Genomic DNA, 18,748 nt, shown 5'->3' on the forward strand with positions numbered 1-18,748 from the left:
ATTTCATAGTGATAAAAACATCAATTCATAAAGAAGACATGAAGATCATGTGTATACACTTAAAAACAGAGCATAAAAGCACATGAAGCAAAAGATGATAAAACTTAAAGGAAAAATTGCAAATCCACAATTGGAGATTTCAGTACTTCTCCCTTGGTAATTTATAGAACAAGTAGACTGAAAATCAGTAGGGATAAGGACTTAACGCTGTCAAACTGACTTAACCTAATTGACCTGTATGTAGCACTCCAACCAAGTGCAGAATACAAATTCTTTCCAAATGCCATGGAATATTCACCAAACTAGACCAGTATGGTGGGTCATAAAACAAATCTCAATTAATTTAATTAAAAGGGTTAAAATCATATAGAATATGTTCTCTGTCCACAATAGAATTAAATTATATTTAATTCTATATATATATTTTTTATATTTCTCTATATATATACATATTTTTTTTTTTTTCGGAGACAGAGTCTCACTCTATCCCCCAGGCTGGAGTGCAGTGGCACAATCTCAGCTCACTGCAACCTGTGCCTCCCAGGTTCAAATGATTCTCATGCCTCAGCCTCCCAAGTAGCTGGGATTACAGGTGCCTGCCACCATACCTGGCTAATTTTTTGTATTTTTAGTAAAGACAGGGTTTCGCCATGTTGGCCAGGTTGGTCTCGAACTCCTGACCTCAGGTGATCCTCCTGCCTCGGCTTCCCAAAGTGCTGGGATTACAGGTGTGAGCCACTGTGCCTGGCCAAATTAAATTATAAATTAATTACAGATAGCTAACTAGAATATACCCAATACTTGGAAGTTAGCATATTACTAATAACCAAAGGACCAAGAAGAAATCACAAAGGAAGTTATAAAATGTCTTGAACTGAATGAAAATTAAATCACCACTTACCAGAATTTGTGAGTTGTAGCTAAAATAATGTCTAGAGAAAAAATTTTTAGCTTTAAATGCTTATCAAAGAAGGTCTAAAATCAATGAATGTGAAACAAAAAGAAATAAAAAATATGCTCAAGTGATTCTCCCACCTCAGCCTCCTGAGTAGCTGAGACTACAGGCGTGCAACACCATGCCTGGCTAATTTTTAAATTTTTTTAGACACAAGGTCTCACTATGTTACCCAGGCTGATTTCAAACTCCTGGACTCAAGTGATCCACCTGCCTTGGCCTCGCAAAGTGCTGGGATTACAGGAGTGAGCCACCGTGCCCAGCCCAGTTTTTATTTTATTCTTTCCCACTTGGTGTCATCAGCCCCATGACCAGTCTTTGACTTCTCTTTGGTCATTTTTACATCAAGGAAGCCAATTTTATCATCCATAGTGAGTCTTGACATGGTGAATCAATTCAGAATGGTTACTAAAGGAAAATGGTTTCTTGCGATGTCTTTATAATTGATTGAAACCTTAGTAACCTGGGGGAATAATCACTAACTAAAACTGAGTCAGAGAAAACTAAGGAGGCAAACAACACGGGCCAGAATGAACTGTTTCTTGTGTGCAAACAATATAAGTGTTGTGACTTGACATTTCTCGAGGAATTGCTTTGGCTGTGATTTTACTTTGAGACTTGTAATGTTCTGTGGAAATTAAGAAAAACGTTCTGTATCTTAAGTCAGCTTGGTTCGCCTGGCACTAGGTTAATTCGTTGGTTTAACCCATTGTTTTTTTTGTTTTTGTTTTTGTCTTTTGAGACGGTCTTACTCTGTCACCCAGGCAGGAGTGCAGTGGTGTGATCTTGGCTTACTGCAGCCTCTACCTCCGGGGTTCAAGTGATCCACCCTCCTCAGCCTTCTGAGAGTAGCTGGGACTACAGATGTACACCACCATGCCTGGCTAATTTTTGTAATTTTTGGAGAGATGAGGTTTCACCATGTTGCCCGGGCTGGTCTCAAACTCAACTCAAGCAATCCGCCCACCTTAGTCTCCCAAAGTCCTGGGATTACAGGCATGAGCCACTGTGCCCCGCCTAACCCATGGTTACATAGTGCCAATCATGTATTTCGGGACTTCTGGTATGTGTTAAAGACCCAGTCATAAATGAAATGTAGTTCTTGTCTTCAGGGAGCTTTCAGTCCACTTCAAGAGGTAGACATAAACTAGGTAAGAGAATGTACAACATGGAAAGGACCATAATAAAAATTTAAATTAAGTGCAATGGGATCCCATATGAAAGAATAACTTTGCTTAGGTGACGTAGAAAGTAAAATTTGAGCTAATTCTGGAAGAATGAATAGAGATTTTCCAAATAGAGAAGGTTAGTAGAAAAAAGCATTCTTGGCAGAGGAAGTAGCATGAAAAGGTCTTATGGTTTCTAGTTATGGCAAGAAGTTCGATGAAGCTGGAAAATAGAGTACAAAGGGAACCAAAAGGTCAGGTTACAGAAATAGGGTGTGTACTGGTCATCTACGGCTCCATAACAAACCACTCAAAAATATAGGGACCTAAAGCAACAGCCATTTTATTTGTTCATGATTTGATGAGTGAGTTAGCGTTTTGTACTGAGCTCAGCTGAGTACCTCCCCTACTAGTCTCACTTGGGGTACTCATATGGGTGCAGTCATTTGGATGTTAGATGGGAAACAACTTTTCCCCATATTCCCACAGTCTAACTGGGCCTCCTCACATGGCAACACCATGCACTAAGCCAGTGAGAACCTACAAGACAGAAGCAGGCCACGTGCGGTCACACCTGTAATTCCAACACTTTGGGAGGCCAAGGCGGGCGGATCACTTGAGGTCAGGAGTTAAGACCAGCCTGGCCAACATGTTGAAACCCCGTCTCTACTAAAAATATAACAATTAGCTGGGCATGGTGGTATGCATCTGTAATCCCAGCTACTCAGGAGGTTGAGGCAAGAGAATCGCTTGAACCCGGGAGGTGGATGCTGCAGTGAGCCATGATCATGCCACTGCACTCCAGCCTGGGCGACAGAGTGAGACTCTGTCTTAAAAAAGACAAAAGCAGCAAAAGCAGAACCCCTTGAAGCCTGGGAATTCACACATTCCTTGAAGGCTTGGAATTCACACACTGTCACTTCTGGTTAAAATAAGTCACGTGGCTAGCCCAGATTCAAGGGGTGGGAAAATGGATTCTACTTGATCGGAGAAGCAGCAAAGTCTCATTGCCAAAGGGTGTGTGTACAGGGAGGGGAATCGTAGCTGTCTTCTCATACTGTCAGAAGCAGATTGTGAAGACTTGCACACAAAGTAAACAGTTTGGAATTTATCTCAAGGGCACAGGAAACTATCAAAGTTTGGCTTTTTGGTTTTTGTTGAAAGCACTAACATAAAAAATAAGATTTTCTACTCAGCACCCCTTATTCAGGAACCGTTCCTCTCTTGTAATCCACATGGTTATTGCAGAAACCATCACATTAGGAGAATGGATAGAATGGACTACCTTTTGGCAAGTTGTTTGAATTAGGGCCAATCAGAATCCTTCTTTTTGGTGTTTTTCTCCTGAAAATGAGAGTTGGTCTCTTGCTAAGCCTGAAGCTTTAAGATGTAAATTTGGGGGAGTGCTAGGTGGCTGTGCTTGCAGCTATGTGAAAAAAGCACTCCGCACAAAGAAGCAGAGGCGAAAGATGAGAATCCTGATGGCCTTGGAGTCCGCTCGTTCTGATATCCCTCTCTGCCTCAGCTTCAAGTTTGGTTTGTCTCTTGGAACCAAAGGAGTCTCGACTACTATAAAGAGAGCTTACCACCTGCAAGTAGGGAGTTGCAAGTGACAACATAAAAATCCAAAAAAAAAAAAAAAAAATCCAAAGCCAGCTTTGTTTTAGTGCAATGGTTACTGGCAAGTTATTTTAACTGGTTATCACTGGTATATAAGAAAGCTGTTTTTCTTATAGTTTGCATACAACTAACCTACGCTGATAGCTTTTCAGCTGAATCTCTTGGGGTTTCCTAGACCAACAACCAGGTTATCAGAAAGCAATTGTATTTTGTCTTTTTCCTTTCCCATATACATGCATATGGATGTGTGTGTATATATAAATTCTTTTTCTTGTCTTATCTGGTTGGTGAGAACCTCCAGAACAGTATTATATAATAACAGTGATATTCAGTAAGCTCTTCCTGTTCCTGACTTTATAAGAAAGATTTGAATATTTTCATTTGGGTACAGTTTTTCTAGCTCTTGCCTGTAAATTACACTTCATTGTAGTAAGAGGATCTTTTTCTTCCTATCTAAATTTGAATTTGAATTTTTAAAAATTTGTAATGGATGTCACATTTTTTCAAATACTTTTCAAGTATGTATAAGTTCATATTTTTGCTTTAATGTGTGAATGTCAATTATATTAAAATATTTATGAAGATGGAGTCATTTTGTGTTCACTTCAGGAATCAAACACTTCCCATGATGCCCACAGGATAGGTTCGATGCCTCTCTGTGTCTTCCCATAATGCGTTGACTGTATTGTCATTAATCCATTCATCCAACAAAAACTTATGGCACTCCTCTATAAAACAAAAAAAGAGATTGAATCATTTTTACGTTCTACAATAATCCCCCCTTGTTTTGATGCAGCATCGCTGTACTGCAATCCTAAATTTAACTTGATAATACAGGCATAACCAAACACAGGTGCCGCTGCTCACCACTTGCAAAGCCAGTAACAAAGGTGAGATGCAGTGAAAGGAAAGTGACTTTCTTCCAGAGCTAGCAGTGGGTAAATAGCCAAGGCTAGTGCCTTAAAGAAACCATTTTCAACTTTGGCTGGAGAGAGGGGCTTAAAAAGGGAACTTGGAATGGGAGGCATGCGGGAGTGTTGCTGGGCACAAGGTCTCTGTGTCTTGTTTCAGTGGCTATCTTGAGTCGTGGTCCACCTGGAGCATGGTGGCCTCATCTCAGTAATAGCTGGGTTGTTGACAAACGGCCTTGAGGTAATCTCTGGAATTTTGAAACTGGATCTCCAGGCCTGGTTTCTCTCCACATTAGCCCTGGAACTTCTAAGAAAGCACATAGTTAGATAAGTGTGCCTGGTGTAAGTTGAATAAGTACATAATTAAATAAATGTGCATGGTGTAAGGGAGTGTCTGGTGGGAAAGGAGGGAAACAAAGGGTTTTAAGGTACATTTCAAGGCTACATTCTGAGGCTAAGAAGAAAAGAAAAACAAAACTTTACAATGCATTTTAGCTGGGTCCAGTGGCTCAAGCCTATAATCCCAGCACTTTGGGAGGCCTAGGCGGGCGGATCGCTTGAGGTCAAGAGTTTGAGACCAACCTGGCCAACATGGTGAAACCCCGTTTCTACTAAAAAATACAAAAATTAGCCGGGTGTGGTGGCACACACCTGTAGTCTCAGCTACTCGGGAGGCTGAGGCAGGAGAATCACTTGAACCCAGGAGTTGAGGCTGCAGTGAGCTGAGATCATGCCTCTGCACTCCAGCCTGAGCAACAGAGTGAGACTCTGTCTCAAAAAAAAAAAAAAAAAAAAAAAAGCATTTCGAGGCTGGGATACCTGGTTACACAGGCAGTCGTTGTTTTGAGAGGTACCATATGAACTGGAATCTGTGTGTCTCAGAGCCATGCCCTCGCTGTGGGTGGTACTAATGTGCATACATTCTATTTAACCTAATAACATGCAAAATGAAAATTGCTTGTATTTTACTTCGGGGAGTTTATATTTATATACTTTGGGTTTTAATGTAATATTGGTCAGATTTGGGCTAGAAAAAAATGAAGAGCCTTTCTGTCTTTTTCTATGCTCTGAAACTATTTAAATGAAAAAGAAAAGCTGAACTGATTCCATAAAGGCATCCCTTTAGGAACAATATACATCTTTGACAATCATTTCACACTCTTTGGGGCTATTGAGATCCTTTACCTTTTATTGAACCCATTTTAGTAATTATATTTTGCTAGACAATTGTTCAGGTTATCTAGATTTTCATATTAATATGTATAAAGTATGTGATGTTCTTTCATATTCTTTACTCTCTTCATTTTCTATATAGTCTTTCTTATTCCTAATATGATTTAGGTGTATACACACTTCCTTTCCTCCTTTCTCACTCTCTTTATAAAAAAGTCAGACCTGCTAGAAGTTTGTCAACTTTATAGGTCTTTTCAAAGATTACATTTTTATCTATCCCAATTTATTTCTTTTCTAGTCCATTAATTTTTTATTTTTATTGATTCACTCTCCCTTTTTTTTTGAGATAGAGTCTTGCTCTGTTGCCCAGGCTGGAGTGCAGTGGCATGATCTCAGCTCACTCCAATCTCTGCCTCAAGCGATTCTCCTGCCTCAGCCTCCCAAGTAGCTGGGACTGGACTACAGATGCACACCACTATGCCCGGCTAATTTTTGTATTTTTTTAGTAGAGAAGGGGTTTCGCCATGTTGGCCAGGCTGGTCTTAAACTGACCTCAAGTGATCCTCCTGCCTCAGCCTCCCAAAGTGCTGAGATTACAGGCATGAGCCACCATGCCCAACCCCACTCTACGATTTTGAGTTTAGTTTACTTTTTCTAGCTTTTTGAGTTGAATAATCCGTTTGCTTATTCTCAATAAAGTTTTCTAACAATGTCATTCAAAACTATGATGTATATTTATTATGTATATTTAGCAATATCTCATACATTTTGATATATAATGTTTTCGGTTCGGTTAATTTTTAATCTATAGTTCAGCTTTTATTTTTGCCTTAATTAAGGGCTATTAGAAGAATGAATGTTACCTGTCCAGTGTCTACTTGATAAAAAAAAAATTTTATTGGGACTTTCTAATTGTCCTAGAATATGTATTCAGCTTGAATAGACCATGAGCAAGGGCTGGTTTGCCCTTCATAGTTCCATCTTGAAAATAAAGCTTTCTTAATAACCAAGCTCTTCCTTCTCTTCCACCTCTCTCTAAATAAAGAGCTCATTCTGTCAAGACAGTCATTAACTTTTCCTTTTTCTTCCTTTTTTTTTTTTTTGAGACAGAGTTTCGCTCTTGTCACCCAGGCTGGAGTGCAGTGGCGCAATCTCGGCTCACTGTGACCTCCACCTTCCCGATTTAAGCAATTCTCCTGCCTCAGTCTCCCAAGTAGCTGGGACTACAGGCACACACAACCATGCCCAGCTAATTTTGTACTTTTAGTAGAGATGGGGGTTTCACCATGTTGGCCAGGCTGGTCTTGAACTCCTGACTTCAGGTGATCTGCCCACCTTGGCCTCTCTAAGTGTTGGGATTACAGGCGTGAGCCACCATGCCCAGCTTTTTCATATCTTTTAAACAAACAACTGATATTGAAAACCTGTGGCTCATTAAACCACAGCTATTTCAGGACCTATTCAGATAAATTCAATGGAAAAATCAAGGAGCATTAACTTGCTGTGCAAAATGGACATATCAGATGTCTTTCCCTACAGCACTATGTCTAGTAACCAAATGTTCTGTGCAGATATCAAGGAAATCAATGATGAAGTTATTCAGAGTTTGTTTAATTCAGGAATTTTTCAGAGAGTTTGGTTGAATTTTATTAAAGGAGAGGGAAGCAAATGATTTGCAAACAAAGAAAACCAAGGGCCTTCCAAGAGGAATAGTGAAAGTTACAAACAACCAATAATAATAAGTGTGTATATATAGATGTATTTGCAGACACACATGTATATATGTGTATGGGGGGGTGTTCACTACTATTTACACACCCTTTCACGGTCCTCTGCTTTAAGCATTACAGCCTTGGAGAGGGTATTGATTATGAGTTCTGTTTTGCAGATTGAAATACTGAGGTTTAGACCAGGCGTGGTGGCTGACGCCTGTAATCCCAGCACTTTGGGAGGCCAAGGTGGGCAGATCACGAGGTCAGGAGATCGAGACCATCCTGGCTAACACTGTGAAACCCCATCTCTACAAAAAATACAAAAAATTAGATCGAGACCATCCTGGCTAACACTGTGAAACCCCATCTCTACAAAAAATACAAAAAATTAGCCGGGCGTGGTGGCGGGAGCCTATAGTCCCAGCTACTCGGAAGGCTGAGGCAGGAGAATGGCGTGAACCCGGGAGGCGGAGCTTGCAGTGAGCCGAGATCACGCCACTGCACTCCAGCCTGGGCGACAGAGCAAGACTCTGACTCAAAAAAAAAAAAAAAAAAAAAAAAAGAAAGAAAAGAAAAAAGAAATACTGAGGTTTAAAGAGATTAGGTGGAGCCAAGTATGGAACCTAGATCTTCCAGTTTGAAATTCACTGTTCTTTCCATTGTGTCCTGCTAAGGGGTCACAGAATGTCCTCAACACAGCCCCTGGTGAGGATTAGAAGGAAGGAGGGGTCTGGCTGTGTGAGTGTCAAGTGTGTAACCTCCGTGTTTGTCTCATTTGAGATCCCTGCAGTGAAGTTGAACGAGCTGCTCGAGAACTTTTATGTCACCGTCAAGAAGAGCGACGGCTCGGACTTCCTGGCCACCTCGCTCCATGCTATTCGCCGAGGCCTGGACCGCATCCTGAAGAATGCAGGTGTCGGCTTTTCCATCACCAGCAGCACCTTCAGCTCCTCCACCAAGAAACTCAAGGAGAAGCTGTGGGTGCTGAGTAAGGCAGGCATGTCGGGCGCGCGTTCTCGCAACATCGTCTACTTCTCCCTTTCTGACGAGGAGGAGATGTGGCAGGCAGGGTGTCTGGGGGATGACAGCCCTATCACTCTCCTGTCCACTGTGGTCAAGTACAACAGCCAGTACCTGAACATGCGGACGCTGCAGGAGCATGCGGATCTGATGTATGGTGACATCGAGCTGCTCAAAGACCCCCAAAACCAGCCCTACTTTGCCCGGACGGACAGCGTCAAGCGGGAGAGTCGGAGCGGCTCCACCAGAGTGTGTCACGGGAAGATCTACCATGAGCATTCCCGGGGACACAAACAGTGCCCTTACTGCCTCCTCTACAAGTACATGTACATCCACCGGCCGCCCACCCAAATGGAGGCCAAGTCCCCCTTCTACCTGACTGCCAGGAAGGAGGCCACAGACATGGGCAGCGTGTGGTATGAGGAGCAGAGGATGGGGCTGCGCTCTCTTCGGGGAATTGTCCCAAACTTAGCCAAGAAGGTCAAGCTGGAAAACTGTGAGAACTTCACCTTTGTCTCGTTCACTCAGGTCTCCCGGAGGCTTGGCTCCCACAGCTGCTGCCAGTGAGCCCCCACTGGGGCCCGGCCACTGCCCTGTCACCTGCTCGGGCCAGCCAGGGTTGGAGCAGCTGGAGCTCCTTGGAGGCAGGGGCTGACCAGGTGTGACCTCCCGGTCTGGCGGCTCTCCCCTGGTGTGGCCTGCCCTCCCTTTGACTTGGGGTTTGCTTTTTAAAATGAAACTAGATGAGTCTAAATCATTCGGATGGTTTATCCAAATGTGCGTCAACTTCGTTAGCTTTTAGAATCTAACACAATGTATAATTGTTACATACAAGAGTGAGGAAATTCATTTTCTCTAGTGCCTTTCTAGCACAGGTTTTCTCAAAACAAACAAACAAAAAAGGAAACTGTTAAGTAGTCGTTTAAAAAAAAAATCCCAGTAGCGCAGTAGCTTTAGAACGTTAGGAAGACTGTACACTTTGTTGAATTACACTCACAATTAGAAACTAGAGAGAGGCAGACACGTTCCCTATTTCCAGGAGACAGATTGCGCTTGATGCGCCTTTTTTTTCTGTTGGTGGATAAGGTGGTTCTGGAGGGCAGGCAGCCTTGTGTCGGGGAGTATCCTCAAGCGACACTTGGTCATCTGACAAGGACTTGGGCTGCTCCCACGGCTCCCAGCAGCGGTAGGAACCCCATCTCGGCTGTCAATGGAGAGAATTTTATGATAAAAGATTCACGCACCAGAAGGGTGTCTGTGAGAACAAGGCTTCTAGTGAACTAGACAGTTTGTACCATGAGGGAATTTCTAGTAGTGAAGGAAAATGGCTTGGAAAAGCCAATCTGTGATCAAAATGTGAAAACCTCCTGAAGCAGAAGTGCCTATGTTTTATTTCTCAGCACCATGTGAGAGCTCCTTTGATTGGAACATTTTTTGAGGTTTCTGTCTGTTCTTCGTGTCATCCCATTATTCGGTCAGCATATACCACTGGATCTATAAAACAACTAAAGGTAATTTTTAGTCTTAGCCAAGAAAAGCTAACCAAACAAGCTGCAAAAAACACAGATCCCCAAACTTTCTTTATTAAAGAGATTTGGAATATTTTTGTCAATGTATGACTTTTCAGCCACAATTACATGTCATCATTTTAGGATGGCACCAATACTTGGGACACGATGATTTAGGCACCCCACCAGGTAAGCAAACTCAGCATTAAGGATGTAGTTATAAAATTAGCGCATAATGGTAGGTAATGCAGTTTGAAACCATTTCACTCAGGTAAAATGCAACCTGACCACATTATTTAAAAATCAGCAGAATTTTCTAATAACTACTCTGAGTGCAACAACAAGTGAAAAAGGAGCTCAAAGAGTGCTCATTAAGAGTAACAATAATTTCTAGGGACCTTGACTTTGCATTTGAGGAAAATCTTGTGTAACTTTATTCCATTATGCTCCTAATATGCTTTCTAATCCCAAATTAAAACTCTAATACAAATTCATTTTGTAGAAGTCTTAAAATCAGTCCTCTTTCTTTTTGAAAACATTATTTTAGTATTTATTTTAATTAATTGGTTTCTTAAAAAATCATACACTAGTCATTGACATATGTAATACTTCCTTTACCAGAGAAGACTCAACCAATGCTGCCTTAAGATTTAATGTTATTCCCTTTTTAGTCACTGTGCATTTATAAGTTTGTTTACTAGTTGACCTTTCCTGAATAGAGATTAGTTTCGGCATTTCTCCATCTGTATATAAATAACAGGTAATATTTAATCATCAGTGTATGACTTGATATCACATAACGTTCTGGTGTGGTTTCCTGTAGTGATCTTAGGGTTTTGATTTAAAAGAAATACACAAAACATTAGGTACAATTTCCTTTAGTTTGCTAAACACCCAAAGGATATTTTGTTTTGTTGGTTCTGCACTTAAACTGAAATACAACCTATGTGAACTATTGGGCAAAGCCTGCAGCCTAATTAATTAAAACCTCCATTTTTATTTGAATAGATTCAAGTAGAAATTGCCGTTAGGAATCACTGGGATCTTTTCGGATTTTGACCTTTTCAAAGGTAGCAATAACTACTCCAGAGGTTGTAATCTTTCTGTTGGTAGTGGCTTTTCATCAGCTAAATAATCATCTCTGCCTCAAATGTGTTGCCTGTCACCTAGTTGATGTTCCATAAAATCCCTGGGTTCTGAAGTGAATTATTATAATTAATAATCAGGAGGGCGAATCTTCAGTGGCATCTGATGGAATGAAAGAACTGTGTCTGAGCAGCCTAAAAGCTGTTTGTGACATGCCACCTTGGGAAACAAGAGTGAGGAAGAAAACACAGTCATCAAGTGCCAGCGTGTGCCACCCATTGTACTAGGTACTTTATTATGCATTTATGTATATGTGTGTGTGTCTGTGTATACACACAAACACATATACATAAGTGTTTACACACACACACGCACAATATGTGGTTAAGCCTGGTAAGCCTGCTAAAATGGCAAAGCGGCCTGGCGCGTGGCTCACGCCTATAATCCCAGCACTTTGGGAGGCCAAGGTGGGCAGATCACTTGAGGTCAGGAGTTCAAGATCAGGACCAACATGGTGAAACCCCATCTCTACTAAAAATACAAAAATTAGCCGGGCGTGGTGGCAGGTGCCTGTAATCCCAGCTACTTGAGAGTCTGAAGCAGGAGAATTGCTTGAACCTGGGAGGCGGAGGTTGCAGTGAGCCGAGACCATGCCACTGCACTCCAGCCTGGGCAACAAAGCTAGACTCCATCTCAAAAAAAATAAAAAATAAAATGGCGAAGCACCTGTCCATGTGTTTGGCCAAAGCCGTCCTCCGAGGTCTTAAGGGGGCCAGAGTAGCAGTCCTCGTTGGCGTTCTAAGGCAGTTGTTCTGGCTTCCAGTCAGCTCTAAACCTTACCTTCTGGGGACTCCAGGATTTTCTGCTCTTGGCCTAATGCAAGAGAAAGGAGAATCCCCAGAGAAAGAAGTGGGGAGGTAAAGAGCGTTTTCTCCACTTACCTTTGGGTTTTTTATGCTCCCAAGTAGAAATAAATATCAAGAATTCACAGGTTGACTGAAGCACAAGTTGCCCCTGGGCTCTGTGTCAAGGCTGGTGGTACTGTAGGTGTTATGAGAGGACCCATAGGGTGTCCTTCAGGTGAGCTGTTGTCCACAGCACCTTTCATATCTGCTGTAAAGGGAGCCCTACTTTCTGTCTATCCCCCCCACCGCCGGCCCCCGGAATCTAAGCAGACTCCCTGTTGGAAGCTTACTCTGGCACAGAAGCTAGGATGTCACCTTAAAGGGTGTGATTCAATTGAATATAGTTTAGTGCGGTACCAGGCACATCATAAGCATGCAATAAATGTTAGCCAGCTTAGTTATAACTTTTGGTAATAATTAATATTATTTAACTAATTTGCATTATACCACTTATTTCTTCCATTATGGAGATTCTGTCTCCCTTAAACTGTTAAACTTGAAGAAGAAACCAAACATGATAATCTGGTCAAGTTAACACATTTTCGCCCATGAATTCTACCTCCAACACAGCCAAGCTCTGATACCTCAGATATAAGCAAAAACAAGTGAAGGAAGAACAGAAAAGCCTTATGGGGCTTTATGAGAAGGTTTTTCCATTGTTTAGTGTGTTTGCAAAAAGGAATTTTATGGAAGTACCTAACCAAAGCTGTGACAGAAGGGTCTCCTTGGTCATGTGGCATTTTCCAGCTTTCCTTGGATTTTATGCTACATTAATTTGCCCTGGCTGATAAATGGTGTTTGAAGAAATGTGAAATTTTGTTACTTTGATTTTTATTTTAATTCAAGCTTATTAAAAGCATCAAGCATTATATGCCACACTCAGCATTTTCATAGACATAGTCATTAGGAGAATCTGGACAAAGTAATACTCTTGTAGAAACGGAAGCATCTTGCTGTACTTGAAAGATAACTGGACTCAGAGCTACTTCACTCCTCACTTGGGCAAATGCCGATATCACTTTGCTTAGCTATAAAGTGCCATCAGTGGGATGGATCGTCTTCACGGTGAACCGTGTTACACTTCTGCAATTCCTCAAGTTCATATTAATTAGGAAGTGGCAGAGCTAGGACACAAAATTCCTAATTCCTGAAGATAGTTAGTCTCCTAATTAAGTGCTTCTCACTATATTGGGATGCCTTCTTTAGGAATAAGACTTTCCTTTAATTTTCAAGTTCCACAACTTCTAAAATTATTTTGCTATCTCGAAGCAGCAGAATATTGATCATTTTTCTCAGTTTAGGCTAACACAGTCCACACCATTACCACTTAAATAAAGTAACCGAATGCTAAATATTATCCTTATCAAACATCCATCACTTTGTTGCTTTTATGAGATGTAGATTGCTAAAAACTTTTGAGCTAGTAGACGTTACCTTTAAGCATCAATGAATGCAAACAGTGAAGACCTCAAAGAAGAGTTACCTCATTTTCTCTACATGATCTCCAATGTAGTCTCAGATAAGGCCCATACATAGTTAAAAGCTGGTAACAGCTCTGAACAGAAGTATGTATTAAATGTTTCAAACTTGTATATATTTTTGAATGCTTTTGTTTTTGGAGTGAATTTTTAATACTCTGTGTTAAAAGAAAAACATTCCATCTTGTAGGCAGTGTTCCTCAGTAAAAATCTTTGTTGCATTTTCCCATATAAATGAATCACCCTTATTAAAACAGGAGGAGGGAGGGATTTGTGGTGACCTACCGCTGCCCTCCCTTTCTAAGAGAAGAGGAGGCCATGGGGTATGATAACTAAATGAACATCTCTGGAAGTTCCTCCGTCTGATATGTGTATTCTGACATAACAGAATTTCCCAAGACTTCTTTGAGGAAGGCTGTCCACGCTTCAGGCAAAGTTTACCCATTATTATTATGATTTTGAATATTCCTTGTTCATTACAGTCCAGAAAATCTGCAGAAGTTCTCCATGTTCAGTGGTTGACCAGAATCTGATTGTTGCGCTCAATTAAAGTGCTTATTATTTAGCTAAAACAACTTATATGGAAGTTAATTATTTCAGGAAATACATAATAAGACCAAAAAAATCACTGGATAATATGTAGATATATTTTAGTTCCATTACTATTAATAGCAATTAGATAACTCTCCCTCCCCCCATTGAGGTGAGAATGGGCTCCTAGATACTTGGTGGTCAATAGAACTGATTTGATTAACTTTCATTTAACTGTGGTTATTGTTACATCTACTGATTTTTTCAAATAAAAATTTCTAGAAGGCTCAGATTTGACTAAGACTGTGTTACGTGCTTTCTCACAGCTGCCATATATTCTCATGTAATCTTTACAACCGCTCTACAAGGTATGTCTAATTATTTCCATTTTACTTATTGAGAATCTAGGCTCAGAGGAGTTAAAATTCTGAAAATCTCACCGATAAGTTGGAGAATTTAAGTTTGTAAGTTGGAGAATGCAGGTTTTCTGACTCCAAATCTAGTGCTCAGTCCATGAGACAAAACTGCCTCCTGGAGGCCATGGAAGTCCATTAACTTTAAGAAAGTTAAACACAGTTTTGGTTTGTTTGGCAAATATTTCATCTCTCAAGCCATACTGTGTCACCCCTCCATGTATTCTCTTACTAAATGATTGCTCACTTGGGAACTTAATCGATCCTGGAAAGCCTGGCGGTTCCCCAGTATTTTCTGCCTACTGGGAACCTTCTGTCTTTATCCAATAAGTAATTTATATTACCTGTCATCTACCTTAAAGGGCAGATGGTCATGTGAATTTATTCTAATGAAAGTTAGTTTACAAGCTGCACCTGTTTTGACATTGGACTCACTGCTTAAAAAGTAAAGGAGTTCCTAACTTACGCAACAATTACATGCTCAGGTTTTTTACTTTTGCCATTTAATTTTGGTCAGAGGATTTTTATAATCTGTAGGCTATAGCACTGTCATAGAAAAATATACCTTTTTTTTTTTTTGAGACTCAGGAGTCTCACTCTGTTGCCCAGGCTGGAGTGCAGTGGTGCAATCTCTGCCTCCTGGGTTCAAGCCATCCTCCTGCCTCAGTCTCCCAAGTAGCTGGGATTACAAGCGTGTGCCACCACGCTCGGCTAATTTTTGTATTTTTAGTGGAGATGGGGTTTCATCATGTTGGCCAGGCTGGTCTCGAACTCCGACCTCAGTGATCCACCTGCCTCGGCCTCCCAAAGTGGAAAAATATACTTATTTACTCGTTTTCTGTTCTTTTTTCCTTTATCGGGGCATATTTATTTTCTCTTTGGAGACTTACAAAGCAATAGGTTATATGAAACTCTGAGATCATCTAGTCAAATTCCCCCATTTTATCAATAAGGAAATTTAAGGCCAGAGATATTAAAGGGCCCATCCAAGATCAGCCAAACAATAAGTAATAGATTCAGGACTAGAGAGTTAGTCCAGAACTCTCTCCTCCATATCACAGCTGAGAAGATTTAGATTTTTTTAAATTAATAGAGCTGCATCTGGCAAAATGACATCCGGCTCACAGAAGACCCTAGTGAGCTTCTTGTACCTTCCCAGAAAAACCCAGAAGAAGGCCAAATCTCAATTCTAGAATCTAGAAGGAATTGATGTAATTTATGAGGCATATGGAGGTAGCTTGGGGCAAAAGTTTCCAAGTAGCTCAATTCCTGGCTTACTTCATGAAACAGGCCCTGTGAAATTAAAAACATGAAAGCTATTTAGTACTTGTCCTCTTCCCCAATCATGCCTGTCACCTTACTCGGAGTCAGAGCTCCTGAGCCAGAGAAATACTAGCTGATGCTTATTACACCGGGAAGAGAAAAAGTTCATATCCACCCTCTCTTCTTTCTCCCCAACCCACTTCCTCTTCATTCAATCCCACATAAATCTTAGAGCTAAAACAGGAGCAGAAAGCAGAGAAGGACTATTAGACCTATGGTGGCATCCCAAGAATAAAGCCCTTTAGGTGAAGGTAGAAACAATAAATACCTGAGTAGCAGAACACGCAAATATTATGATTTTTTATGTATGATGTTGGGTTCAGAGACCCATAAAATCAGGCAATAGGAAGGAAAAGGATGCTGCTTCAATAGAAAAGTAAACTAGAAATTGGACTTGGAAATATGTTCATCACCTTACCATTGACCTGGGATTTAACTGAAAAAGGGATTCAACAAACATTCACATGAACAGGGTCTGGGAAGAAAGGACCACGTTTAAGGATGAGTATAGAGAAAAAAATAAAATGAGGCATATAAAAAAGTCAATGGGCCAGGCGCGGTGGCTCACGCCTATAATCCAAGCACTTTGGGATGCCGAGGCAGGCAGATCATCTGAGGTCAGGAGTTCAAGACCAGCCTGGCCAACATGGTGAACCCCGTCTCTACTAAAAATACAAATATTAGCCGGGCATGGTAGCACATGCCTGTAATTCCAGCTACTCGGGAGGCTGAGGCGGGAGAATCGCTTGAACCCAGGAGGCGGAGGTTTCAGTGAGCCGAGATTGCACCACTGCACTCCAGCCTGGGCAACAGAGTGAGACTCCATCTCAAAAAAACAGAAAAAAAAGTAACAAATTGCCTGTAAGAAAACCAAAGAGCATCTGGCTTCAGACTTCTGCTCTATAGCACCAAATGCCAGGAAACAATAGAGAATTGTGAGGGGGAAAAGTTGTGACTTTGGAATTTTATACATATTTTATATGTTAAGATACATAATTTTTTAGTTATGATAACCATCCAGGAAATATATGAGCTATGTAATAGTCTTACAAAGATAATAAGTTGTACAGCAACCTACGAGGCTTGATTTAAATAAAACAATGTTTGCTTAGTATCCTAATTTCAGTGGGCTCTGGGCTATTAAATACCAGGACATTATCCACTAGAGGAAGGGTATGTATGCTTTTAAATAGATAATATGGCTAGAAGCTACATATCTAAAAGCACCCGAAGTCCTCATATGAATAGGCTAAATTAATACAATAAGGTGTAATAAATGCCATACCACAGCATCATGTTTCTTCATTTTTATTACCGAAATAATGTATAAATTGCTCTTGATTTTCCCCACCATCATTTAAAACACTCTATCCTGAAAGAGTCCACTGCTTCCAAGTGAGAAAAGCCAAGGAGTCCCCTGCGTTGGGGGTGTAATAACCTAGACTAGAGCTTATAGACTGAAGCCCATGTGCTTCTCCATGCTCAAACGCAGAACTAAAAATGGGTATAAAGTCAGAAAATTGCAGAATATAAGTCTGTGTTTCAAAAAGCAATCAGGAAAAAACAAACAAAAAACTTGTTTTAGAATACAAATGCAAGAAAAGTTCAATTTCAACAGCAGAAAGATGGCCTGGGGCAGTGAGATGCTTTCCTTAGCTGTACTTGAAGTTTTATGGAACGCCATTTAAATTCAGACATCAAGGGAATGAATGCAGTTTTAAAAATCCGAATTATTTCTGGAGTCTACAATGTCAGTGTTAGAACTAATGCTGGGTTGTTTTGTTTTTTCATTTGCTTGCACTGGAAGGCCTTGAAAACACACAGGAGTGTAGAGTATCGTCAGCTCTGATGCTCAGTTTCTTCCTGGCAATAGAATGGTTTTATCTGTGCCCCAAGCTTTTGCCAATTTAAACTCTAAACTAAATTTTCAATGACACCAGCATGTTTGCTTTAAATTTAGCAATAGAATAGGCAATGGACTGCTTTGCATTTCCTTAGTTTTTCATTCTGAAACAGAGCAAAACATCTTCCCAAAGAGATGGAGACAATCTCTTCTGGGTAGATTCCAAGTATAACCTGTCCCAGGGTCCTCTTGCTCAGCTGTGACTAACAAAAGTCTGTTCAATTTAACTACTTAGATAAGAAGCGCAATGCTTTTATTTAAAAATTTAATATTTTCTATGGGGCTGTATTTTCCAAATAATAGCAACAAAACTGTCCTAACGTTTTCACTGTTCTGTAATTTTGTTTTAATATAGAGGATACCCATAATTTCTTAACACTGGAAACATCATTCTGAACGATGTAGGAAGCGGTCAGTAACGTGAATGATGTTATTGTACCGTCTCCAGCTTTTTCCTTCTTCCCCCAGATGGTCGCACCTGTGCATACATCCCTGTGCATGTGGGGGCACATGAGTGGGAAAGTGGGTGTCACTCCTATTTTCTGTCCTAGAGTGTCAGCGTTGGAAGGGATTTTTTTTTGTTCCTCCAGTCCGGCCCTCTAGTTGATAGTCCAGTAGTCTGTTAACAATTTGTAAGGACCTGGGTTATATTTTAAAGGTGGTTGTTGTTGTTGTTTGGGTTCACTTATGTATATGCAGCTTGACTGTTCAACCCAGATTTTTAAACAATAAAAAGATTTAATGTATACTTTCTGTTTTCTTAGCTTAGTTATTTTAACTTAATCAGCAGCATGTCTGGTTTCTGAATAGTTTTTTAGTGTCACATTCCTGGAGGTAATGTTTGTCTTTGTAGTTTGCGATGTTAGGACATATGAGAATTCCACACCCATATTCTGTGCCTCTGAGCCAATCCTCTGGGTGAAATAGTTGTTCCAGCAGAGTTCCCTCTGGTTTTCTGACTGAGATTTGCCTCACTGGGCAGGCTTGAGGTCCCATTTGGGATGGTGTCATGGTGATTTTATATTGACCATCATGTACATGCCG

General features: G+C 40.7%; 1 protein-coding gene across 3 annotated transcripts in view, besides 1 other annotated feature; it reads left to right on the plus strand.

Moving 5' to 3' along the window:
• KIAA1958 overlaps positions 1 to 18,452 on the plus strand; it is a 182,571-nt gene extending 164,119 nt beyond the window's left edge. For 2 of the 3 annotated variants that reach the window (NM_001287036.2, NM_133465.4), the window contains one exon: positions 8,318 to 18,452. In NM_001287036.2, the coding sequence (NP_001273965.1) occupies positions 8,318 to 9,124 (807 nt within the window). In that variant the 3' untranslated portion in view covers positions 9,125 to 18,452. The remainder of the gene's footprint in view (positions 1 to 8,317) is intronic. The other variant, NM_001287038.2, reaches the window with a different exon arrangement.
• Positions 9,550 to 9,750: a silencer, noted in NCBI's record as "peak7319 fragment used in MPRA reporter construct". NCBI's record gives its function as "represses an SCP1 promoter by STARR-seq MPRAs in K562 erythroleukemia cells {active_cell/tissue: K562}" and the evidence as "EXISTENCE:reporter gene assay evidence [ECO:0000049][PMID:32103011]".
• Positions 18,453 to 18,748: the final 296 nt, after the last annotated feature.

Source organism: Homo sapiens, chromosome 9, assembly GCF_000001405.40.
Source record: "Homo sapiens chromosome 9, GRCh38.p14 Primary Assembly".
In the NCBI taxonomy this organism is placed as follows: domain Eukaryota; kingdom Metazoa; phylum Chordata; class Mammalia; order Primates; family Hominidae; genus Homo; species Homo sapiens.